The 27924-nt window shown below is 37.9% G+C and overlaps 2 long non-coding RNA genes across 3 annotated transcripts in view; one reads left to right on the forward strand and one right to left on the reverse strand.

Annotated features, from left to right (window-relative positions):
- The window catches only part of LOC105377460 (uncharacterized), a 106316-nt gene extending 101505 nt beyond the window's left edge, over positions 1-4811 (forward strand). Inside the window, exons 10-11 of the long non-coding RNA XR_002959803.2 lie at positions 1859-2023; positions 4658-4811. This is a non-coding gene — a long non-coding RNA (uncharacterized LOC105377460). The remainder of the gene's footprint in view (positions 1-1858; positions 2024-4657) is intronic.
- A 16947-nt stretch (positions 4812-21758) lies between these two features.
- Positions 21759-27924, reverse strand: part of LOC105377462 (uncharacterized) — a 360687-nt gene continuing 354521 nt past the window's right edge. For both annotated transcript variants that reach the window (XR_939273.3, XR_939272.3), the window contains one exon: positions 21759-22276. This is a non-coding gene — a long non-coding RNA (uncharacterized LOC105377462). The remainder of the gene's footprint in view (positions 22277-27924) is intronic.

The raw sequence follows: 27924 nt of genomic DNA on the forward strand, positions 1-27924 counted from the left end.
TAGTTATTTTTTAGACTAGTATTTAAATGGAGGCAATAAACTACAGAGCACTATGTATCAAGGACAGTTTGTGATATAAACAGATACAATTTAGTCATGTCATAGATCTGCCTTTTGTGAGCAATAAAATTTAACTCTTTGGGACTACTCATTATTAGTACAATACATTTGGGAAACAATATGGTAATAAATATCAAGAACCTTAAAATATTACTATTTTATTTAATAATTTTACTTCTAAGATGCTATGAAGCTAATCATAGATGTAGACAGTATACAAAACATGTATACTGCAATAATTAAAGGAGCAAAACATTGAAATCAACCTGGATATCCAATAATAGGATAGTAAAATAAATCATGATACATCTGTGGAACAGACTATTAGTCAACCATTAAAAATAGTTTTCATGAACAGTCTTTAAAGATGTGAGTGCTTCAGTTTTCTCTTGCTGCACAACTAATTGCATCAAAACATATTAAATTAAAACAACACACATATATTATGTCACCCAATTTCTCAGGATTGGGTGGTTCTGGCTCAGCATGCCTCCTGAGATTTTAGTCATGCTATTGACAAGGGTTATGGTTTTCTCAAGGCTTGACTGGGGCTGGAGAAGCCATTTCCAAACTCATGCATATGGTTTTTGGCAGGCTTCATGGCTGTTGGCTGGAGGCTTCAGTTCCTCACCATGAGAGCCTTGTTGTAGTGCTCCTTACAACATGACAGCCTGTTTCACTCAGAGTGAGAGATGGGACAGAGAACCCACTATGGAAGCCACTGTCAGTTATAGCCTATTGATCTCACAGACCAATCCTGGTGCAACATGGGAGGAGCCACATTTAAATCAGTGTCCATTTCTCACAAGGGTGTGAATACTAGGAGGCAGGAATCATTCAGGGACATCTTGGACTCTGGCTACCACAGTAAGTCAATGCTTTTGATAAAGTGTTAAGTGAGCAAAATAAAGAATATATGTATAGCTTAATTATTCAAAAAATGCAAAGAAGGCAATGTAAGCATACCAGAATTTTAACTATGCTTATATTGGTTGCATGACTATAGTTTGTTTCAATGGTTTTATATAGTCTTTGATATTTCATAAGAATTTTATGATTAGAATGTATTTTATTATGTTCTTTCTAAATGTTAAAGAAGCTTAGAAAACACATTGAGTTATTAATTTTAATTACTTTTACATTGCGTATGAAGATGTTCAATAAAACTCAAGTCCTCTACTAAAAAAAAACTGAAGTATTTTACTAATTTAATATAACTAGTTAAGCTTAGGACCAAGAGATTATAATTTGACTTCTTTTTAAACAGTTCCTTATGTTCCCTAGCATAAGTATTTTATAGATATTCAAACATAATAACTAAACCCCTAGGTCGATGATCATTAAAATATTTTTGCTATTCAGTTTGCCCACTTTATAAAAAGGTACTATGTGCCAAGGCTAAACATTCTCTAAGGTAACATTTGAACTCTAAAATTCATTGATTTTTAGAAGATATTTATTAAATAATAAGTATTTAAAGCACAGTACTTTCTTAGTCAGCTGTACTGCAGTCCAAGATTCATGAGGAATTTAAAGGTGTTTTTGGAAAGAGAAGTTGGTGCAGATGTTTATTTTTCACTTGCACCATGAAATCTAGGCCCTGCCTAAGCACAGTGGAGGTTGGCATTTGGAGATGTGAAAAGCAATACGGTTTTCTGCAGCATTCATTGGGTTTCAGTAGCCTGCTACATGGAGTGGCGCATATTTGTGAATTCATTTAGTCCTGAGCAGTGTCTATAGATACCCCAACAAAGATCTTTCCTGGTGTTTGAATGTTTACTGGTATTTCCTTCTGCAGGATGTCCGCTCTGCTTGTCTTACCGCATGAGAGAGTGCAGATGTTCCTGAAAGCATCTTTGCGTGGATTTGCTTGAAGCGAGATGTGAGAGAAGGGGCAAAGCTCGAAGGGAGCTGCTAGAGAGAGAGGAAAGCAGCTGGACAGGGCTTTCCTGATGACTGAAATGTAAGCCATTCTCTAGGAAACAAAGTCACTTTCTTTTCTGAGAACAGGCACTTGCCGTCACAGAGGCCAGAAATGTGCTAGAATTCTTTCAAATTTTCAAGATCTCAATGTCTCCATTATGACAACACTCTTGGATAGTCTGTTTGTTCCTGTGAGGTGGCTCCAACATATTTTTCAGTGTCTGAAACATAGGAGACCTGGAGATAGGAAAGGTATGTTCAAGGAGAAAGAAAGATCTGATTTCACTCCAAGCAAGTAAGGTGAATTCGTGATTATAAAATCTAGGCAAAACAACTCTGTAAACATATCTCAAATACTACTCACATGATAAAACTACTGTGAAGAGATTTACAACCAGGCCCCTAGGATGTAGGTGACTACAGGTGCAAACAAAATATTTAAATGTTTAATTACCTGTGGTGCATTGTACTCTTGAGAGTGACTAGGGGCTTCCTTAAAGATGGAAAATGCTGAGATCTGCCCCAAGGATCTGAGGACTTAATAAAAGAGGGAGAAATGGTTTGAGGAGATTACTGTCAAAAAGACTGAGTCAAACAGACAAATTTAGAACATGCATACACTATGATGATAAATAGATTCTAAAGGGAAAGCGTGGCCGGGCACTGTGGCTCATGCCTGTAATCCCGCACTTTGGGAGGCCGAGGCAGGTGGATCACCTGAGGTCAGGAGTTTGAGACCAGCTTGGCCAACGTGGTGAAACCCCGCCTCTACTAAATATACAAAAAGTAGCTGGGCGTGGTGGTGGGCACCTGTAATCTCAGCTACTCAGGAAGCTGAGCAGGAGGTTGCTTGAACTGGGGAGGTGGAGGTTGCGATGAGTCAATATCCTGCCACTGCACTCCAGCCTGGGCAACAGAGTGAGACTCCATCTCAAAAAAAAAAAAAAAAGAAAAAAGAAAGAAAACAAAAGGAAAATGGAAGTCGTGTTCTCTCAAAATAGCTTGTGAAGCAATGATCACCAAGTGATTTAGACTCTGGTGTGTGGGCTAATACAGATCTGTTTCGGTGGGAACATAGTAGGGCTTTTAGTTATGTATTTAGACTAAACCAAAGCAAATCGATGTGCCAAGGAATGCAGAAATTTCTCGGCCATGTTCAAGTCACAGAATCCATAAAGGTTAGTGTGAGAAGAAAAAGTAACTCATTATCTTATCTTTCACCAATGCTTCTCCAAATGACCACAGCCTGCCCTTAAATTAAGTGAATGAATAATGAGAACAGATGGAATGAGATGGGAGAGGTGGCTGACTTAGAAATTTGACCTTGAAACTGTGGTTCATAGCAATGAACTTCCGACTTTTCCCAACCAAATTCTTAAATGTATAAACATGGCGTAAACTATAAAGGAAAAGTCCACAAATGGGTGGATGTCTATATTAATCTTCATCTTCTAGAATAGCTGATCACTCTCTCCTCGTCATCATCTTCATCATTGTGAAGCAAGACCAGCTCTCTGAGATAGGAAAAGAATTTCATAAATTCATGATGGATAAGGCATAAAAGTTTCCCATCTTGAGAAAGAATGAAAAGAGGCAAACGAGATTTTTCTTAAACTCACTACCTCAGGAATATGTGTAAAAGGATGAATGATTAATATTTAATGAATGTCTGCTGTGTGCTATGCAGTAGTAATGACTTATGTGTGTTATCTCATATAAACCTCGTCACAATTCAGTGAGGTAGGTATACTCATTTTGCTAATGAAAACATCAGAGGTCAAATGATTTGCTAAAAAATAATTCCAGAGGTAAGTGGCAGACTCTGTTTTTGAATCATGTCTTTTAGCACTAAAATCCATCCTTCTTTCACTTCCCATGCTTCTTTCCTTAGAGCCCTGCATGAATTGGCCCATGCAGCACTATTAAAATGGAATCAGTGACTCTGCTGCTCCTTGGAAAGGTCAAACTTTCTTTCACTTGAGGGCCTTGCTTTTCACCTAGGTATCCTACCCAGTTACTCCCTCACCTCCCTGAAGTGGTCCTGCCTGACCTCCCCATTGAAAAAATATGACTTCTGTCATTCACAATCCTCTTACTTTTACTTTTCATCATAGCCTGTATTCCTACGTGACACTATATATCTATTTGTGTATTTGCTAATTTTTTGATTCCTGCTTTAATATGTATGCTTCATAAGGACAGGGAGTTTGTATATTTTGTTTACTGTTCTATCCATAGAGCCAAGGTCCATGCCTGGCATTTAATAGGTGTTCTATGAATAGTTGTTGGGTTCATATTAATGAATATGTTGCTATGAATATTTCACCTGATCTTAAGTAGAGAAGAACAATCATAATCAGCCACAAATTTCTTATGCTAACCTCTACCTTTCCTTGAGCTACTTCCCTTTCCATATTTAGCTGGAATATCAAGGCTTAGTTTCCATATCATCTTGTCTGATGTTAAAATTCACTATTGATGTTTGGGTGAAGACAGTTATGGCACAGATGGCCACATGCCCCTTAAAACACATTTCCCAAGCCCTTATCTTTGCATCTTGAGGCAGCCATATGTTTAGTTCTCTATGATGGACTATGAGCAGAAGGTATGGTTCATTTCAGGGGTGGCTTTTAAGCAGAAGATATGTCTTTTACACTGTTTCCCTTTCCTGCAGCTTATTGTGGATAATGGAGATCAGGTCCTGTGGTGGTGGATCTAATGGAAGGATCCTAGGTCTCTGAATCACAACGTGGAAGAAAATCAGTCACCACCCCTAGCTGGAACACCAACATTTCAAATAAGTGAAAAATAAACTCTTATTATGTCAAGCCACTGCAATTTTGGGGTTTGTCTTAGTGTTAGTGTCACCTACATTTATGCAATAGCTGAGTAACATTTTAGAAGAAGAGGATGTTTGTAGCCATTTTGGACTACAAGAAATGTCAAAGATACTTTTTATTTTCCTAATTTTTAATTTCTAGGTTTATTCTTAAAAGAGTAAGATCTTTTTTTGAAAAATCAGTACTATTATTTTGACTTTTGGATATACAAACAGGTCTCTCCTTAACCACTCAAAAGAGCCAAGTGAGAGGAATTTGTGGATAAAGACATTTAAAGGTAGTATGAAATCTTTAATCACGCCAAATCAACACTCATCACCACGACATTCTGTCAGTGCCTCCAGGGATTAAGGACATATGAATGTCTTTCCCTGAAATGTGATTGTGACATTGGACTTAGCTATTTGGGTTTTCATGAAACCCATTGTCAGGTTAAATAATGATAGAGTAGTAGATGTTCTGCACAATTGCTTTTGTTATAAAACTTGAAAAAAAGTATATTAATTTTTTATGCCTTGCCTTTCAGTGCATTATTACTTATCTTTGTGCAGAGTAGATTAAGTAGGTCCATTGAATAAGAAAGCATTAATTTGGTAGATTCTCTGTGTTAAGATGCTCAGTATTTTTTATGGAATAAAGGTGTGGAAGGTTTCTACTCCTGGTCAAGGAGTAGAAACAGGTAGAAAATATTTATATTTCAGCCCTGCTTCTCCTTTGTCATATCCTTCACCACAAGGATCTACTTTCACTTCTGCCTTGGTTTTAAACAGCAGCCAGTATATGAAGGTCTAGCTAACTACACTATCTCCCTAGGAGAGTTGGTACAATGTTGTTTCCAAAAATTAGACAAAGCATGTTTAATGGCTCCCTTTCACTAAGTAAATAAATAAAAGCAAGAAAGGGAGGAAGCAAGCTGGCTAAAGAAGAAATGAACTAGACATCTGTATGTTTCATTTTGTTAGTGATCAAGCTCGTCTTTCATGATTATTACTTTGATACATACAAGATATATCACAACTATTTTCCTAAGCAATATGAAGATACAAAGTTATTATAAAAACTAATGGATCTAAAAATACATATTGAAAGGTATATTTATCTTTTGCACACCTCGATGAATTTTTCACAAACTGAACAGATCTCTGAAACTGACAACCATATAAAACAAACAGACAAAACAAACAAGCAAACAAACATAACCAACACCCTAGAAACCCTCCTAGGCTCCTTTCTAGTCAAAGGATTAGTCATTATTTTGATTTCTAACAGTATAGCTCAATTTTATAAATTAATTAAGCAAATTACTCTTTGTGTAATTTACATGAATACATTAGGTATTCTTTTGTGCCTGACATTTTTTGTTGAATATTTTGTTTGCAAGATTTATCCTATTGTTGCATATGCTTGTAGACTGTTCATTCTCACAGATGTATTATAAAATCTATTGAGCAAATATGGCACAGTTTATTTATACACTCTACTGTTGGTAGACATCTTGATAGTTTCCAGTTTTGTTTGGAGCTATTACAAAAGTGCTGCTATAAACATTCCAGTTAAGTCTTTTGGTAAACTCAAATATGTATTTTTGTTGAATATATATGTATATATACCTAAAGAAAGATTCGTTGATACTGCCAGTTTTCCAACATGGTTGTATCAATCCACATCACTACCAGTTGTGCATAAAGATTTGAGTTGCCTTGTATCTTTGCCAACACTTGAAATTTTTTGTCTTTATTGTTTTAGCCAGACTAGAGGTTGTTTAGTGGTATTTCACTGTGGTTTAATTTGCATTTCCTTGATGGCTAATGAACTTGAGAATATGGAAATATGTTTATTGGCCATTTGAATGTCTTTCTTTATGAAGTACCTGTTCAAGTATTTTACCTATTCCTCTATTGAGTTGCCTGCATTTTTCCTATTGATTTGCAGGAGTTCTTTATATGTGCTAGATAAGAGTGTTTTTGGTACTCTACATGTAACATTATATGTATGTGTATATATATATATATATATATATATATATATATATAAAATTTCCCACTTTGTAGTTTGCCCTTTCATTCTTTTAATGTCTTTTGATGAACGGATGTTTTTAGTTTATTTAGGCAAAGCTATAAGGTAAGAACAATGTTAGATTAAGCTTTAAAAGGTGATTCAGTTCCATGAACAGAAAGATTGGGATTCCCAGCACTATTGAGCTGTTTGAATCAAACTCCTAGAAGCCTTAATATATTTTTTCAACTTTCCCTTTGTAATTGTAGTGTTGGAAAAACAATAGTTACCCTCAGAGTGTTGTAGAAATTACCATCTGTTGATTGAAACAATGAGAAAATATTACCAAAATGGTTAGAACAATAAGAGTACTATATAATATCCATGAAAAATTGACACTAGCCACAGGTTCCTTCAGGAAACCATCAGTGTTCTGAAAATAATAAATCAGAAAATCAATGTTCAGTTTTCAACAGCACGGTGAGGATGGCAGTGAAAGGTATTATTTTAAGAATTTTCTCAGGCCCTGAGTTGTAAGAGTCTGTAATCAGTGATATTTTTATTTAAAGAAAATCAGAGCATGAAAGAGCATTATTTTAATATCTAATATTTAATGCTAGAATTAAAAATCTAGTGTAAGATTTATGTTGGAAAAAGCAAACAAGCAAACAAAGTAAATTACAGCTCTCTGTGTAATAACGTGAATGAATGGAGATTCCTCGGCAAATTGAATTTACTATGTGAAATCTTGTAAATGAGGCATATTTTAAAAAATCTTGGCTCTAAAGTGATTTGGTGAAATGATTATTTTCCTCATTAAGACAAAATAAATTTCTGTCATATTATTAAACATTTCACAACCTCAAAGTGCTGTTTTATGGTAGACCAGCTAGAAGTAAAGATTAAAGTGGACTGTATTTGTGGTCTGGTCAGAGTTTAAGCAGAGGACACAGTTTCTGGAAGCTTTTCCTTCAGCCTGGATGTCAAGGGTCCTTTTGCTGCTTAGCACCTCCAGCAGCCTCCACCCAGGTTCATCATCTAGCTGTGTTGTCTCCACTGTTTCCTGGAGAAAGGTCCAATTACCCAAAATACAGTTGTGCCCTTTTTATGTTTTCATCATAGTTAATTATAGAAAAACTTGGTTATATGCGAAGTCCTACTAAAACAAAAGTATCATAGGAAATATTTCTAAGAATCATGCAAAATCATGATTTTGTATTAAGAAATTCTAAATTAAGAACCATGTAAAAATGAGAGTTTGAAATGTTACTCTGTCAGACACTGAAGAATTTAAGAACCGTTAATTGTTTGTATACTAGCTCCTCGAAGGTAGGTCTGTTTTTATTCATCTTTACGGCCTTCGTTGTCCCTGACATATTGCTGCACGTAGAGTATATGCACAGTGTATACTTGTGGACTAAGTGAATGCCAACTTTAGCTTTTGAAAATGTAATATATGAGTTTAACAGATGTTGTCTCTTCACTTTCTAAGTACTTGGAACTTTGAAAATGGCTCTTTCAATAGTAAAGTTTTTTTCTCTAGATATGTTCTTAAATAAAAAGTGATGTAAAGAAAGGAAAACAAACTTAAACCATTAAAATGTTTTAAATTACTAAATCTGCCTCCAGGAATGTGTAAAGAGATAATGACTACCTAACATAATTTTTTATGGGTTAAATTTTCTCTAAATGTGATCTATTCTATTTTGAACTACAAATATTTTAAAAGTATAAATTGTAAGCAACTGGAAAATTGGTTTTAGGCACGTGATATGCAATTTCACAAATGTTCAGGATCCTGGTGTTATTTCTATGACTATGAGATTTCATAAACAAATTATATAGCCACTATTTGTGCTTCATTTTGCTTCTGCACAACTGAGGTGCTTATTAAACACAAAGGCACATTCTACCGATTATTGTAGATACTATGTTTTATTGTATTTTAAATGAACATTACACACAGTCCTGTGTAAAATGTAAATTTTTCTCCTCAGGTTGTATGTATGCTATACATGAACTACAGCTAGCATGTATAATCCCAGGTCCTCTTCAGAGAGTTCTATTAAGGTAAACAGATATTACATGCAAAACCCTTTTTTCAGTCTGCTGTATTTAGAACCCTAGATGCCCAAACTGCTGAATTACCCAAAATACATTTGTGCCCTTTTTATGTTTTCATCATAGTTATAGAAAAACTTGGTTATACGCAAAGTCCTACTAAAACAAAAGTATCATAGGAAATATTTCTAAGAATCATGCAAAATCATGATTTTGCATTAAGAAATTCTAAACTAAAAATCATGTAAAAATGAGAGATCGAAATGTTACTCTGTCAGACACTGAAGAATCGTAATAGAATTATGATTACCTATTCAGCCTAGTGCAATACTAATTCTGTTTACTTATACTTAACATACAATAGAATTACAACTATAGAGGAAAATCTCTTTTTCTTATTAGGCTGCTGAAGAAAAGTCTCATATTCTGTGATATCTGTTTCTAATTTGTCTTTGGGGAAAGGAATGCCAAATAATTGCCTTGTTTCCCCCTTCAGACATTCAGAACCTCACCAAACTGCAGTCAAACCAGGATGCACACCCCAGCACGTGATTTTTTTTTTCAGGATCATAGTCAATAAATTTGATTAGTTTGTAAAGCATTCCAAGCCACTAGTCCACAAAGCAGGTTGAGCCAATCCTTCACTTACTCCCTGTTCCTTCTAGACCACCAGGGCTCTAGTTTGTATTTTTAAACCTGGGTTAAATTGTGGCATAACCACAAACCATTGTATGCTATTAACAGTGGGGTTCCAATGAATGACTGACAAACAAAATCTTAGCACAGGAAGCCTACTTCTCTCAGTGGTAAACACATGTTATTAATGAAACGTTTCTAACGGGCTGAAGCAGTTTGAAGTCTGTCTTGACTGACAAGACTGTATTTTGCTATATGGGCTAAACAAACAAAACATTTAAAAATAGTTCATTAGAAGAATATGTTTTGGTGAATCACAAATGTATAATTTGCAGATCTGGATTCTGAGCTAAATTTCTCCTCCTCCTGTATTATAGTGTAATATCTCTCTCCAGGGTTCAAAGAGAGTGTATAATTCCTGTATCTTCCTTAGGAAGATCTGGATAGTGTTAAATGCAACTTCCGGTCTAGCCTCAAAGAGAGGCTTGATACAAGAAGGACTTGACACAGGTACTACATGGGACACTGCAGGAGAATACAGGTGAATATGAGGCTCAGAATCTACTTCGTAAGAGAGAATTTCTATTGTTAGGTAGGATGCTAAATAAAAATCAAGTGTGCTTCATCCTCGGCTTCCTCTTAGTCAGGAGATAGGTGAGTAAAGACTTTGTTCATGTATATTTGATGTTTTCATTTATCAGTAACATTGGCTACTGAGTATGTAGGCATTCATAGAAACAGACAGTGAGTCTTTTGTGCAATTTTTCTGAACTCCTGTTTAACATAAAGGGATAGCAAACCCCAAACCAAATAAAACAACACTGGCATTGCATTTAGATGTCTTTGAAACATTCCAATGTTTTGGACCACCAAACTTGAACCCACGATGGTTGCATTTAGTTTTGATCAAATTGGGCAGTGCTGCCTCAAGCTGGTTTGCATTTCTTTACAAATTTACCCCGACCCTGTTAGAGTAACCAGAGAATTACAGAACAATGTACTGTTAATCTGTTCTGCAGAGTCCTTTTGCAAGTGAATTGAATAGTGAGGAAACCAGGGAATGGCTATATCTCTAACTTCAGAGTGATACCACTGTCATCAAAACAGTTTCTAATATCCAGTATTTCTAGAAGTGGATCCTCACTATTTCTAACAACATCAAAATAGCCAGTCAAAAGTAAAAACTTTGTACAAGCCACAGATACATGCTGTAAAAAAATCTTTTCCTTGATTTAACTGGGTTACTTTCCCTTCACTGAATTGACAAGTTAATATTATAGGTATGGTCTAAATTTAAGCTCAGAAAGTATACCCTGGAAACATTTAAGGGCAATGTTGGGGGGAAAAAGTCTAGGATTTGCTGGGTGCTGTGGCTTATGCCTGTAATCCCAGCACTTTGGGAGGCTGAGACAGGAGGATAAAGGTTGAGACCAGCCTGGGCAACACAGTAAGTCCTAGTCTCTAAAAACATTAAAAAATTAGGGGGATGTTGTGGTGCGCACTTGTAGTCCCAACTACTCGGGAGGCTGATGCAAGAGGATGCTTGAGTCCAGGAGTTTGAGGCTGCAGTGAAGCCATGATCATGCCACTTAACTTCCCTGGGGGACAGAGCAAAACCCTGCCTCTAAAAAAAAGTCTACAATCTGAACCAAAGAATAAGTATGTCAATGAATAAGTCTAACCAACCCCACTCATACTGTGTCCTACTCTTTGCTTTACTTCTTGTCTCTATTCCACATATGCCTTGTTCTCAACCAACAGCACTGTCCCCATATTCTGCCTTCCACTTGCCCAATTAGCTTGTGATCTCTAGGGTCTTTGTACTTGCCCCTGTGATTCTTAGTGTTTTATTTTCTCTGGAGGATGGCATAGCCAGGATCATAGGGGTCCTGGTGCCACCCTTCGGGTGTCCAGGGTCTTCCTCCTGCTCTCTGGTGACCCTTCATGGCCATGACTTGCAATGCACACTCCTGTGACACATCTCACCTCTTCTCTTTCTCACCAAAATATTCCTATAAGCTATCCCTTTCTCTAAAGCTCCTGCTAGTAGGCTTGATAATCTAAGATACTCTTTCAGGTCAGGGTGATAATAATTAACTCAATCCTTTTGTGTGCATTACACATTAGAATGCTTGGAGAAATTAAACACTGTTTACCTGAAAACATATTAATGAACTATAATTGGCAAACAATGAAGATGATATTAGTGCATAAAGGGAGGCTTCCGGTTGTCCCCTCATGTCCAACCCTGTGGCTCAGTGGGTTAAAGGCTACCTGGACCCCACTGCATCTTCTCTGCCTAGATGCTTGGTGTTCAGAGACTATACCTTACAGTCTGTTTACATACGTTCCCATTTCACAGGTAAAATAAAATAAAGAAGGGACTATTCTTGGAAGTTTGATTAAGGAAGCTTGATGTAAATTTATTTGACTGATGAGTAAGTAGAGAAAAATGAAAGATACTTCTAATGTATATGTTATAATAGAGAATTGAAGAATTCTGGAATTTTATACCTGATAGGAGAATGAAAGTGCTCTGAAATTTAAATGATTAATAACAGAATAAGAACTTTTTGGCTTTTCAACAGTGTACTTATAAATCATACATTACAGTATAAATTATATTGTATGATAATACTGTATGAATTTCTAACTATGTTACTCATATTTCATGTGATAGTGCTGAAGTTATTGGCAACTTGGATAGTGCACTAATGTTATATATATTTAAAATATAATGTGTATATATATGTATACACATACATATATGAAGATTTGAGGAATTGAAGACAATGTTAAATATACTTTCAATTTGTTCTTTTAAATTTGAATTTTTAAATTCTTACAAATTTCAGGGTAAGAAAAAACTATTATGTCATCATCTCAGTATTAGGAATTCAGATAAAACAAAACATCAACATCCATTTGTTGCCTTGGTTTTTAAATTGGTGAGCACTCTACCATAAAGTTCATGCTTCAAAGATTTTAAGAGATGAGCTTGGATGAGATAAATGTCCTTCATGCTTAATTCTTACACCTAATCTTAAATAGACACTACAACATCACTATTTCACCCACTCATTCCATAAGCATCTGCTAAGAATTTATTATAAACCAGGCATTTTGCTAGGCACTGGAGAACATACACAGTGCAATCAAACATTTCTGCCTTTGGCAGTGACTGTTAGTCCTTACTAATATGTTCTCCTTTTTCAGGGCACACAGATGGATGGCATTTTCCAGTCTCCTTTATCATGTTCTGGCTAGCAGAATGAAGGTGGCTATGTTACATGCCTCCTTCAGAACCACCCTACAAATATATCCTGTGTATGATTCTCTTTCTGTTTCCCATCTGCTGCAGAAATGAATAAGTCTTCAGGGACCAGATGGGCGCAGTGGCTCACGCCTGTAATCCCAGCACTTTGGGAGGCTGAGGTGGGTGAATCACGAGGTCTGGAGTTTGAGACCAGCCTGTCCAATATGGTGAACCCCCGTCTCTATTTAAAATACAAAAATTAGACTGGCGTGGTGGCACACGCCTGTAGTCCCAGCTACTCGGGAGGCTGAAGCAGAAGAATCGCTTAAACCTGGGAGGCAGAGGTTGCAGTGAGCCAAGGTTGTTGAGCCACTGCACTCCAGCCTGGGTGACAGATCGAGACCCCATCTCAAAAAAAAAAAAAAAAAAAAAAGAAAAAGAAAAGAAAAGATAAAAGACTCCAAGGACTTAGAAGAGAGAGGAATCTCAAGAAGAAATGAGCCTGGGTTCCTGAATGATTCTTCCAACCACCATGAACTTACATTGGACTGTGACTTAACAAGACATAAATGTCATTGTGTTAAGCCACTAAGATGCTCTAAATGCTTGTTAAAGCATTTAGTCAACTGTATCAGTCTAGCTCTATGATGAATAACCTTAAACATAGTGACATAAGACTAAAACTAATCTGTGTGTTAGCAATTTAGACAGGGCTCCACAGAAATGGGTCATCTTTTCTCCTCTAGGCACTGGCCAGGCTCACTCATGGGTTTATGGTCAGTTGGCAAGTCATATGGAAGCTGGCTGGTCCCGGATGAAGAATTGGCAGAGCCATGTGTCTCCAGGATGCTAGCCAAGACTTTTTCAAGAAGAAAGGCAAGCTTCTATTCATAAGCATTTTTTTATTGTACTTTAAGTTCATGTGCACAACGTGCAGGTTTGTTACATATGTATACATGTGCCATGTTGCTGTGCTGCGCCCATTAACTCATCATTTACATCAGGTATATCTCCTGATGCTATCCCTTCCCGCTCCCCCAACCCCATGACAGGCCCCAGTGTGTGATGTTTCCCTTCCTGTGTCCAAGTGTTCTCATTGTTCAATTCCCACCTATGAGTGAGAACATGCGGTGTTTGGTTTTTTGTCCTTGGGATAGTTTGCTGAGAATGATGGTTTCCAGCTTCATCCATGTCCCTGCAAAGGACATGAACTCATCCTTTTTTATGGCCGCATAGTATTCCATGGTGTATATGTGCCACATTTTCTTAATCCAGTCTATCATTGATGGACATTTGGGTTGATTCCAAGTCTTTGCTATTGTGAATAGTGCCGCAATAAACATATGTGTGCATGTGTCTTTATAGCAGCATGATTTATAATCCTTTGGGTATATACCCAGTAATGGGATGGCTGGGTCAAATGGTGCTTCTAGTTCTAGATCCTTGAAGAATCGCCACACTGACTTCCACAATGGTTGAACTAGTTTACAGTCCCACCAACAGTGTAAAAGTGTTCCTATTTCTCCACATCCTCTTCAGCACCTGTTGTTTCCTGACTTTTTAATGATCGCCATTCTAACTGGTGTGAGATCATATCTCATTGTGGTTTTGATTTGCATTTCTCTGATCACCAGTGATGATGAGCATTTTTTCATGTGTCTGTTGGCTGCATAAATGTCTTCTTTTGAGAAGTGTCTGTTCATATCCTTTGCCCACTTTTTGATGGGGTTGTTTTTTTTTCTTGTAAATTTGTTTGAGTTCTTTGTAGATTCTGGATATTAGCCTTTGTCAGATGTGTAGATTGCAAAAATTTTCTCCCATTCTGTAGGTTGCCTGTTCACTCTGATGATAGTTTCTTTTGCTGTGCAGAAGCTCTTTAGTTTAATTAGATCCCATTTGTCAATTTTGGCTTTTGTTGCCATTGCTTTTGGTGTTTTAGACATGAAGTCCTTGCCCATGTCCTGAATGGTACTGCCTAGGTTTTCTTCTAGGGTTTTTATGGTTGTAGGTCTAACATTTAAGTCTGATCCATCTTGAATTAATTTTTGTATAAGGTGTAAGGAAGGGATCCAGTTTCAGCTTTCTACATATGGCTAGCCAGTTTTCCTAGCACCATTTATTAAATAGGGAATCCTTTCCCCATTTCTTGTTTTTGTCAGTGTTCTATTGGCAATAATTTGTCCCAAACCAAATCATATAGCAAAACTTTAAGTCAATGTGGGAGAGGATTACAGAAAGGCATGATTCATTGGGAGCCAGTATTTTAACAATCATCATACCAACCTTGATGAATGCATTGCCCTTATGGAGCCCAGAATTTTAAGAGGGAGAGACATATAAATAAATAATTACAATGCTTTATGAGAAGGGTTAGAACTGAAATATAAAAAATATGCTATGGAGACACAAACAAAGGAATAGCTAAACTAACTCTTCTTTGCCTGGGCGTAATAGTAAAACTTTTACAAATGAGATAATTTTGGTGCTGGTTCTTGATGGATGAATAGGAGTTTGTTAGATGCTCTAGGATCACACAGTGCAGTTTTGGGAAAGGAAGAAGGACATTCTAGGAAGGGAAATAGCACAGAAAAGTCCTTGAAGTCAGAAAGTATATTGCATGAGTGGGAGTGAGGAGAAGTGTAATGGTGTGGGGAGTTTTACTAGAGGGTGTTATGAGATGGGCTGCATATGTAGGTAGGACCGGGTGGTGATAAAAGTCTATGCCAAGGAGTTCAGTATTTGTTAAGCTGACAGTGGTGGAGGATTAAAGATACATTATTAAGTAACTAATAATATTGGTGATCAGACTACTGGTAACACTGGAAGATTAACCTGAATTATACTTTTGGTAAAAAAAACACAGTAATACTTGCTGGCATAAGGAGTGAGAATGAATCTCAGTGCATACACTTGGTTGTACAAGAAAGGTTGTTTTCTTAATTTTACTATGGTTCAATAAAATTTATGTCTTATATTTTCATTTCACAGGGTGACAGAAACTGAATCCATCATTTGTAGGGCTATCTCTTCACTTCACAGTTGTATATAGGATTTGTAGAGCTGAGCTGGCACAAAAGAATCTGGGGCCACCTCTGATGCACATCCACAGGCTCTGAAAACCCTAGTCTTCTCTATTACCTTCACGCTTCTCAGGATATGTAGGGATCACCCTGGGGAACCAGGGCCACAGAGAATAGGACAACTTTGTGAGCTGATTGCTGACTCTGGGTGCCTGAACATACTGCAGGCATACCTCAGAGATACTGTAGGTTCCATTCCAGACCACCACAATAATGTGAATATCACAATAAAGTGGGTCATGTGAAGTTTTTGGTTTCCCAGTAGATATAGTTTGGATTTGTGTCCCCTCCCAAATCTCATGTGGAATTGTGATCCCCAGTGTTGGAGGAGGAGCCTGTTGGGAAGTGATTGAATTTTGGAAGCGGATTTCCCCCTTTCTGTTCTTGTGATAGTGAATGAGTTCTCACGAGATCTGGTTGTTTAAAAGTGTGTAGCACCTTCTGTTCCCTCTCTCCTGCTCTGGCAAGTGAAGATGTACCTGCTTCCCCTTCACCTTTCACCATGACTGAAAGTTTTCTGACGGCTCTCCAGCTGTGCTTCCTATACAGCCTACAGAACTGAGAGTCAATTAAACTTTTCTTTATAAATTACCCCATCTCAGGTAGTTCTTTACAGCAATGTAAGAACAGACTAATACAGAAAGTTGGTACTGGGGTGAGGTTTTGCTATAAAGATGTCTGAAAATATGGAAGCAACTTTAGAACTGGGTAATGGGCAGAGGTTGGAACAGTTTGGAGGGCTCAGAGGAAGATAGGAAGATGAGGGAAAGTTTGGAACTTCCTAGAGACTTGTTAAATTGTTGTGACCAAAATGCTGATAGTGATACAGGCAATGACATCCTGGCTAAGGAAGTCTCAGATGGAAATGAGGAACTTTTTGGGAATTAGATCCAAGATCACTTATGTTATGCATGAACAAAGTGATAATCTGAAACTGAAACTTATATTTAAAAGGGAAGCACAGTATAAAAGTTTGGAAAATTTGCAGCCTGGCCATGCGGTAGAAAAGAAGAACCCATTTTCTGATGAGGAATTGAAGCTGACTGAATAAATTTGCATAAGTAAGGAGGAGGCGAATGTTGATAGCCAAGGATGGGTAAAATGCCTCAAAGACATTTAGAGATCTTTGCTTCAGCCCCTTCCATCAGAGGGCCGGGGGCCTAGGAGGGAAGAATGGTTTCCTGGGAAGGCAGGGCTCTGCTGCCCTGCACAACCTCAGGACACTGATCCCTGCATCCCAGCTGCTCCAGCTCCAGCTGTGACTATAAGGGGCCCAGATATGTCTCAGGCTTCAGCTCCAGAGGCTGCAAGCCATAGGCCATGGTGACTTTCCATGATCTTAAGCCTGTGGGTGTGCAGAGGGCAAGAGTTCAGGCTTGGGAGCCTCTGCCTAGATTTTAGAAGATGTATGAAAATGCCTGGATGTCCAGGCAGAAGTCTGCTGCAGAAGCAGAGCCCTCATGGAGAACCTCTTTTAGGGCAGTGCAGAGGGGAAATGTGGGGTTGGAGCCCCCAGACAGAGTCCTCACTGGGTCACTGCCTAGTGGAGCTGTAAGAAGAGGGCCACCATCCTGCAGACCCCTGAATGGTAGATCCACCAACAGCTTGCATCATGGACCTAGAAAAGCTGCAGGCACTCAATGCCAGCTTGTGAAAGCAGCCACAAGGCAGGGTCACAGAGGCAGAGCAGCCCAAAATCCGTGGGAGCCCACCCTTTGCATCAATGTTGCCTAGATGTGAGACATGGAGTCAAAGGAGATTATTCTGGAGCTTCAAGATATAACAACTGCCCTGCTGGGTTTTGGACTTGCAGGGAAACTGTACCCCATTTGTTTTAACCAATTCCTCCCTTTTAGAATGGGAATATTTAGCCAATGCCAGTACCCTTATTGTATCTTGGAAGTAACTAACTGGTTTTGATTTTACAGGCTCATAGGTGGAAGGGACTTGCCTCGTCTCTGATGAGACTTTGGACTGTGGACTTTGAATTAATGCTGGGATGAGTTAAGACTTTGGGGGACTGTTGGGAAGACATGACTGTATATTGAAATGTGAGAAGGACATGAAATTTGGGAGGGGCAAGGGGCAGAATAATATGGTTTGAATTTTGTCTCTGCCCAAATCTCATGTTGAATTGTGATCCCCATTGTTGGAGGAGGGGTCTGGTGGGAGGTGACTGGATAATGGGGGTGTATTTCCCACTTGCTGTTCTCTTGATAGTGAGTGAGTTTTTATGAGATCTGGTTATTTATAAGTGTATAGCACCCTCCATGTTCTCTCTCTTCTGTCATGTGAAGATGTGCCTACTTCCCCTTTACCTTCTGCCATGATCAAAAGTTTCCTGAGGCCTATGCAGCCATACTTCCTGTACAGCTTGTGAATCTGTGAGTCAATTAAACCTCTTTTATTTATAAATTACTCAGTCTCAGGTAGCACTTTATAGCAATGTGAGAATAGAGTAATACACCAGTGTATATAAAAGTTATGTTTACACTGTACCGTGGTCTATTAAATGTGCAATAGCACTGTGTCTAAATAAATGCACATACATTAATTAAATACTTTATTGCTAAAATAGGCTAACAATCCTCTGAGCCTTCAGTAAATCATAATATTTCAGCTGGTGGAGGGTCATAAGGCAATGAAGTTTGTTGCGTTGGTCAACTCTTCCTTTTATGAAATATTTCCCTGTGGCATGTGATAACATTTAATAGCATTTTACCTACATTAGAACTTCTTTCAAAATTAATGTCAATCGTTTCAAACTCTACTGGTGCTTTATCAACTATGTAATATTCGAAATCCATTGTTGTCATTTCAACAGGGTTCACAGCATCTTCATCAGACATAAATTCCATCTCAAGAGACCATTTTCTTTGCTCATTGATAAGAATCAACTTCTCATCTGTCCAGGTTTTATGATAAGATTGCAGCAATTCAGTCACACCTTCATGTTCCACTTCTAATTTTAGTTCTCTTGCTATTTCCACCACATTGGGAGTGACTTTCTCCACTGAAGTCTTGAACCCCTCAAAGTCATCTGTGAGGGTTGGAATCAACTTTTTCCAAGCTCCTATTCATACTTTGAACTCCTCCCTTGAATCCCAAATGTCTTTAATGACATCTGGAATGGAGAATTCTTTCCAAGAGGTTTTCAACTGACTTTTCCCATATCCCTCAGAAGAATCACTATATATTGCAGCTATAACTTCACAAAATATATTTCTTAAATAATAAGACTTGAAGTTGAAATGTCTCCTTGATGCATGGGCTGCAAAATGGATATTGTGTTATCAGGCATGAAAACAACATGAATCTCCTTGCACATCTCTATCAGAGCTCTTGGGTGACCAGGTCAATTGTCAATGAGCAGTAATTTTTGAAAGAATATTTTTAATGAGAAGTAAGTCTCAACAGTGAGCTAAAATATTTAGTAAACCATGCTGTAAACAGATGTGCTGTCATTCAGGCTTTGTTGCTCTATTTCTAAAGAATAGGCAGAGTAGATTTAGCATAATTCTTAATGATCCTAGGATTTTCAGCATGGTCAATGAACACTGGCTTCACCTTGAAGTCACCAGCTGCATTATCTCCTAACAAGATAGCCTGTCCTTTGAAGTTTTGAAGCTAGCCTTTGACTTCTCTCTAGCTATGATAGTCCTAGATGATATCTTCCAATAGAAGGTACTTTTGTCACTGAAACTGGACCTCTTCCTTACACCTTATACACAACTCAACTCAAGATGGATTAAAGACTTAAATGTAAGACCTAACACCATGAAAACCCTAGAAGAAAACCTAGGCATACCATTCAGGTCATAGGCATGGGCAAAGACTTCATGATTAAAATACCAAAAGCAATGGCAACAAAAGCAAATGGGACCTAATTTAACTAAAGAGCTTCTGCACAGCAAACAAACAAACAAACAAACAAAAAGAAAAACAAAAAACAACCCATCATCAGAGTGAACAGGCAACCCAGAGAATGGGAGAAAATATTTGCAATCTATCCATTTAACAAAGGTCTAATATCCAAAATCTATAAGGAGCTTAAACAATTTTAGAAAAAAACAAACAACCCCATCAAAAAGTGGGCAAAGTATACGAACAGACCTTCTTAAAAGAAGACATTTATGTGGCCAACAAACATGAAAAAAAGCTCATCATCACTGGTCATTAAAGAAATGCAAATCAAAACTACAATGAAATACCATCTCATGCCAATTAGAATGGTGATCATTCAAAAGCCAAGAAACAACAGATGCTAGAGAGGATGTGGAGAAATACGAACACTTTTACAATGTTGGTGGGGTTGTAAATTAGTTAAAGCATTGTGAAAGACAGTGTGGTGATTCCTCAAGGATCTAGAACCAGAAATACCATTTGACCTGGCAATCCCATTACTGGGTTTATACCCAAAGGATTATAAATCATTCTACTATAATGACACATGCACACATATGTTTATTGCAACACTGTTTACAATAGCAAAGACCTGGAACTAACTCAAATGCCCATAAGTGATAGACTGGATGAAGAAACTGTGGCACATATACACCATGGAATATTATGCGGCCATAAAATGAATGAGTTCATGTCCTTTGAAGGGACATGGATGAAGCTGGAAACCATCATTCTCAGCAAAGTAACACAGGAACAGAAAACCAAACACTGCATTTTCTTACTCATAAGTGGAAGTTGAATAATGAGAACACATGGACACAGGGAGGGGAACATCACGCACCAGAGCCTGTCAGGGTTGGGGGCAGGGAGAGGGATAGCATTAGGACAAATTCCTAATGCATGCAGAGCTTAAAACCTAGGTGATGGGTTCATGGGTGCAGCAAACCACCATGGCACATGTATACCTATGTAACAAACCTGCAGGTTCTGCCCATGTATCCCAGAACTTAAAGTAAAATTTTTTTAAAAAGAAGTCAGTTTTGTTTGTCTACATTAAAAATCTCTTGTTTGGTGTATCCACCTTCATCAATTATCTTGGCCAGATTTTCTGGATAACTTGTAGTTTCTATATCAGCACTTGCTGCTTACCTTGCACGTTTCTGTTATGGATAGAGCTGCTTTTTTAAACCTTATGAATCAACCTCTGCCAGCTTTAAACATTTCTTCTGCAGCTTTCTCACCTCTCTCTGCCTTCATAGAATTGAAGAGAGTTAGAGCCTTGCTCTGGATTAGGCTTTGGCTCAAGGGCATGTTGTGTTTGCTTTGATCTTCTATTCAGATCACCAAAAATGTTCTCCATATCAGCAAGAAGGCTATTTTCCTATCTTACCATTTATGTGTTCACTGCAATAGCACTTTTAATTTCCTTCAAGAACTTTTCCTTTTTGCTCACAACTCAGCTGTTTCACACAAGAAGCCTAGCTTTCCTTCTGTCTTAGCTTTTGACATGCCTTCCTCACTAAGCTGAATCATTTCTATTTTTGATTTAAAGTGAGAGGCGTGTGACTCTTCCTTTCACTTGAACAATTAGAAGCCACTGTAAGGTTATTAATTAGCTTAATTTCAATATAATTGTATCTCTGGGAACAATCTCTGAGAGGGAGAGAGACTAGAAACAGCTAGTTGGTTTAGCAGTCAGAATACACACAACACTTATCAATTAAGTTGGCTATCTTATATAGGTACTGTTTGTGGTGCCCCCAAATATTTACTATGTACCATCAAAGGTCACTGATCACAGATCACCATAACAGATATAATCATAATCAACGAGTTTAAAATATTGTGAGAATTACCAAAATGTGAGACAGAGACACAAAGCGAGCACATACTGTTGGAAAAATAGTGCTGGTAGACTTGCTCAATAGACACAGGGTTGCCACAAACCTTCAGTCTGTAAAAAGCGTAACGTTTGTGAGATGCAATAAACAAAGCCCAATAAAATGAGCTATGCATGTACAGTGTTTTATTCTGAGACTTTTATCTTTCTGGGGCTGTACCATGGGGAAGGATAACAGTCTCTTTTTCTCCCAGATTCCACAGACAGATCTGAGTTTATTGTCCATGAGGACTTGCTCACAGACAGGAACAATTCCTATTACTGCATAACAAATTAAGTTTAAAATTTAGTAACTTAAACAACCATTTATTAATTTCATAGAATTTAGTGGGTCAAGAATTTGGACAGGCATAACAGGCATACTGGCTCTGCTTGATGGTGACTGGTGTCTCGGCTGGGGACACTCAATGGCTGGAGGTGACTCAATGGCTTTGTGCTGGAATCATCTGAAGACTTGTCAATTCACATGTCTGGAGTCTGGGTTGGGATGAGTTCAAGAGTATGACTGCTGACCAGTTCTCCTGCTGTGATCTTTCCATCTGGCTTGACTTCCTCAGAGCATGGTGGCCTCAGTGTAGTCAGAATTCTTACCTGGCAGTTCCTGGCACTAAGAGCTGGTGTTCTAGAAAATAAGGTGGAAGCTGCATCATTTTTTATTACATAGCCGTAGAAGCCACACAAAATTACTTCTGCCATTGGTTGAGGAAGTCAAAATAATACACAGATTTGGGTTGAGGGGATGCAGACCCCTTCTTTTCAATGGGAGGAGTGTCAAAGGATTTTAGAGTCATGTTTTTCACCCACCAAACTCTCATGGCTTATCTCTGATGTTCCTTTCTTCTTCCAACATGAAAATTTTGTTTGTTGTTAGTCTGAGGCCCAGGGTGTGGTGGAACATAAGGGATGAGGAATATTTGCTCTGACTCATGATGTCTTTTCCAAAATACTTTATCCATGCTATGAGTCCTTTCTATTTACTGAGAGCCAGAAACAGGCAGAAAGAGCACTCTGCCTTGTATTGTCACATCCCTTCTCTGAAGTTAAAAAGTTCTATAGCAAAGCCTAACTATCTGAAGGGGTTGAGGACTAAAGGAATAAACGATATGCTGTATGGGTTTGGGTAGATAGGGGCAGACATTCATATTACTAAATGACATTTTATTTTATGTTTTGTAAATATTTAACATTTCAATATTATTCCACCAAACATGCAACAAAACAAAATAAACAAAGATATTGTTGCCCTACTTTTATAATTTTGCCATCTAATCTCACTATTCCTATTTGGAGTGGCTTCTTCCTGTGGTTTCTCTCTCTCTCTCTCTCTCTCTCTCTCTCTATTTTATATTCCTTTTACAATTTTCTCAGTTTAATGGACTCAGTATTCTTAAAACATTCCAGTAATTTCAAAGTACAGCAATCTTGAAATATTCTGATCTAATCATTCAAGGTTATACCAGAATTTCTAGGGCAGTTTCTTCGGCTTATCTCATACTACATATGATTACATAGTTCAGCTTTTCACCCTTTTGACTACACAGACAATATATATAAACCTATTTAGGGCAATTAACGTATTGGAGGATAAAAATCCTTTGAATTCCATGTCCACATGGTTTGGATTTCTGTCCCCACCCAAATCTCATGTTGAATTGGAGAAGGGGCCTGGTGGGAGGTGATTGGATCATGGGGGCAGATTTTCTTCCTGCTGTTCTCGTTCTCATGAGATCTGATGGTTTAAAAGTGTGTGGCACTTCCCCCTTTATTCTCTTTCTCTCCTGCCACAATGTGAAGAGAGTGCTTGCTTCCCCTTCATCTTCTGCCATCATTGTAAGTTTCCTGAGGCCTCCCAGCCATGCTGCCTGTTAAGCCTGCCGAACTGTGAGTCAATTCAACCTCTTTTTATTTTTTTAAATAAATTAGCCAGTCTCAGGTAGTTCTTTATAGCAGTGTAAAAAGGACTAATATATCCATAAAAGCTCACTCACTGACAGGCTAAGGACAGTATGTAGAGGACCGCCATTAGGACCTTTCAAGTCAATAACAAATGCCTCTCCAGAGAGATATTATGCTAATATTGAGTATTATGCACATTGTTAGTAGTTAATCATGTGTTTAATTCTTGATTTTTGAGCTACCCTTTGGCCTATGATGTAGCTGGGTTTTTTTTAGTTCATACTTCTTTTGTGCTTTGTGTCCGTATCTATTTCTACATCAGTCACAGAAATTGAAGACTTTAAATTTTCTCAATCAGATCCATTCTTTGAACAGGAATGGCAAGGATGAGGCAAGGTGATAGCTCCTAGGGAGATGCTTGGCTGTGTGACATAGGGGTGAATACCTGGAGACAATTAGCATTCTGTTATGGAGGAAGAAGTGGGGAGTGGATGCAACTAATCATATCTACTGCAGAGAAAAAATAGAACACTTAAAGCATGTAGGCAAAGGATCAGGATAAATGGCTAAGTGCCTATGAGCCCAAAATTGATTCAAGAGATGACTAAACATTGGTTCAAGGACTGAAAGACTAAGCATGTTAAGAGTTCTGCTGATTGGGTTCTATACAACATCAAGGTACAGGGCAAGGCAGCAGCATAGACACAAAAGTGGCCAAGGAGTTGCCTGACACACTTGCGGAGATTACCAAGAGGAGGAGTCGACTTTCCTAACAAATTGTCAGTGTAGACAAATGAGGCATAGAAAATAATGCCTGATAGATTCTATATCAGTAAAGAAAAGTGTTCTTGGTTTTAAAGTTAGATTCATACTTCTGTTGGTGGAAATATGACTAGATACTTAAATCTCTCTTAGACAATTTGGATTTACAAAGAGACTGACAAACAAATGGACAGATAGTCTTTGAGAACTTAATGTGAATGCCACTGTATTTGGGGTACTGTTCTCTGCTTCAGAATGAATAGTCTATTGAAATCTCAGTTCCTACTGGCTAATTTGAAGCACAAGTGTTGAGAGGCTAATGTTTGGGAGGCATTTTTCTTTTGAGCTAAAACAGGAGTTTGAACAAACTCCAGCCTGAGTCAGCTTCTAAACAAGGATGAAATTCAAGTTTACAAAGCTTACTTGCAAGCCTGAAGCAGCTTATTTATGTATTTATAACATTTGCCTTAAAAAGAAACATTGGCCTATAACTTTGTAAAAGGTTGAGTTGAATACTCAGCAAAAGCAAACTTAAATGGTTTCATAACTTTTCCTCCAACCAAGGCTGGCAGCATAGCCATGGTGACAGTACAGTAAGCAGAGCACTGTGCTGCAAGGCAGGAATATGAGAGCACCTCCCTACCTAGGTATTGAGAAACTCTTCACCCTGAACAAGTCACTTCACTTCTTTAGGTCAGAAAAAGACTAACCTATCAGGTGGAATGCACTAAAGACACTAAAACATCTTAATTATTATTTTCCTTTGACTTTAGGGTTGAGGAATCTGAGTACAATTAAGCCACATGTCCTCAGTTAAATATTGAGCCAGTAGACTTGGAGTGGCCTTCATGCCCCTTGACTCCCTGGCCCAAACTCTCTTTCTCTAGTGCTTTGCAGAACGTGGCAGTAAATCTAGCTGTGTCTAATGAAAGGGCTTCTGCTGTCAGTGACACCCAGAGGTAAGCACCTTGGAATTAGCAATTCTCACCTGATATTGTTAACATTCAGGTAGGCTTAACCTATGGACCCCACCTGCCACAGTGTCTCTGAAGCTCAGTCTACAAGCGAGCACAGGATGTAAGGAATAATCCTTTGCAATGAACAAATATCTTGTCAAACCCTGAACATGCTCAAAGAAGCATCACTTGGATTAGTGGATTAAGTGCATTAGTCCAAATGATTTTACTAATTGTGCATTATATATAAATGAAAGCCTGAGAATGATGGAAATATTACTTTGCAACGACTGTTATAGTTTTCCAAAGAAATGTTCAGAGATAAGAGAGGAGATTGCAACACTAAAGGTGTTTAGTCCTTTGGCTGTTGGAAGGCTTCTAATGCAATATAAGACACAGCATTGATGTGCTCAGCTCAGGGATAATATAGAAGGAGGAAACTGGCTCACAGACTTGATTCCCCAGGACAATTTCCTCTAGAGCAGTATATGAAGATGCTTTGCTTTATAGGACCCTGAAAAGCCCATCTTCTGTCCTGAGAAGCCTTCCGTTATATTAAGGAGCTCATACCATCTATGAAAAACATTTATTTCATTTTTAAATATAGAATACATTTTACACCTACTGTTGAGTTGAGAGACAGACAGTCATCGCATTAAATGGTTATTATCCAGGATTAGGACCATCCTCTATTTCATTCATTGGGTGAATGCTCAGCTGATTAGGTTCTTGCAGAGAACCTAATAGGTTCGAATCATCACAGCACCAACCCATTTGCTACCACAGCCCTGGGATCTGGAGAAGACAGCTTGGTGTGTGAGTCCCTGCCTGCTCCTGGCCTTTGTCTTCCTTCTGTCCATGCATTTAGGGGTCAACTGACCCCTCTCACAGACTTAGTATTGCCTGTCTAAAAGTTAATTAAAAAAAAAATCCCAAACTGCAGAACTGTGCTTCAATTCACATTTCCCTAGCACTGGCCTCACCCCAACAGCTGAAGAATGAGTTTCAGCCTTGAATCCTGGATGTGAAATCTCTTTAGGTTTTGCTTACCTGGACTCCAGAACCTTCTGCTTTTCTCCTGCCAGTCTCCATCCTCTAGTAGCTGAGAGTGTGGACAGAGAGGTCAAAGAGGGCTAGGTTCTGGACTTCTCTTTGTGTTTACTAGCTAAATGGCATTAGGCAGATTTGTTTCCATAAGTCTCATTGCTCACCTATAAAATGGGTCAAATAATAAAAATCTATCTCAGATGGTTTGTATGAGATCAAATGAGATAATGTATGTAATGTCCTTAGTACAAAGTGCAATATACAAAAGCTATTCAATAAATTTAAGCTATTAGTAATATCAATTAAATGCACAGAAGTTTAGCAATTCTGTTGCTCTCTGCTTCATTTCTGTGTGAGTTTTTTTCTTCCAAACTGGGTTGTAGATTTTTTTTGTCACAGACTATGTTTAAAAAGGTTTTCAGATTTTCTTCAGAACTGAACCAAATATAGGGTATGAGGTGGTGTTTAATAGCGTTTGATTGATTCAAAACCAGCACAATTTCTAAAATACCTTGTGACTAGAGCTCATTTTGAAATTTTGTACATGAATACAGAGAAAATGCAGAATAAGTCAATCTTCAGAAAGCGGGAATTATGAGCTCACTCAATGCAGAGCTTCATTACCTATGTAATGTCATCATTTCAGGGCATGCCAGCCACAGAGAACAGAACCAGGCCATCAATTGGCACTCAGTGACTAAACACTCTGTGTGGGTCCTTGCACTGGAATTGACTGCAAGCAGTCAGAGAAAGCACTCAAAGAATTACTCCGTTTATGCACAAAGTATTTTTCAATATGGCTTAAGTAAAACCTCCTGTCCCATCATCATTGACTCCTAATTATTAATTAAACTATTTAGCACTTTTAAAACCCCAACAGGCATACCTTTTCTCTAGCAGATACTCACTAGAAAACAGCTATCAGGGAAAGACAGTTCTAACAAATAAAAAAAGAATAGTAAAAGCAGCACACATCAGCCACCACCAGCAAAAAACAACTGTTTTGATGTTTATGCATGTGGGTAGTTTTTTGTTTAAACACAATGTGATTAATAAACACAGACTTATGAAATCCTTTCTTTCATCAATGAACTATGGCAAACTTGAAATACAAGGATTATGTTTTTAAGTGTCTAAATTGAAAAGGCAAGAATAAGTCCCAGGACCAAATTCTCAACAATAATCCCAATTTTTACTGATTTCGAGGTTTATACTGACATTTTTTTCTCAATTGTATTTAGGCATCCAAGTATGTGTGTTTCTTCCAGTCCCTTAAATAATCTTCACAGCCTACATAGGTTGCCTTGTAATGTAGCCAGAGAAAGAAAACATTTTAAAACTATTAAGCATATTCCAAATGTTGTTATTAGTAGTTTTGAGGGCTTGGCTATTTTGTTAGCCTCAAAAATGTTAATAATTAGTATTCTTTGGAATTTTGCTCATGAAGCTTAAGAAACAACATTGTAAATTATAAAGGAAGAAATATTTTGCTTATTTTGTGTTTCTTTGCGTGGATAAAGCTGTCTTCAGTCTTCATCACCACAGGCTTTACTGTTAATGATGGAATGCAAAATGTAGATTTTTTCCTCTATGGTTTTCTTTATTTGTC

Source organism: Homo sapiens, chromosome 4 (genome assembly GCF_000001405.40).
Source record: "Homo sapiens chromosome 4, GRCh38.p14 Primary Assembly".
Lineage (NCBI taxonomy): Eukaryota > Metazoa > Chordata > Mammalia > Primates > Hominidae > Homo > Homo sapiens.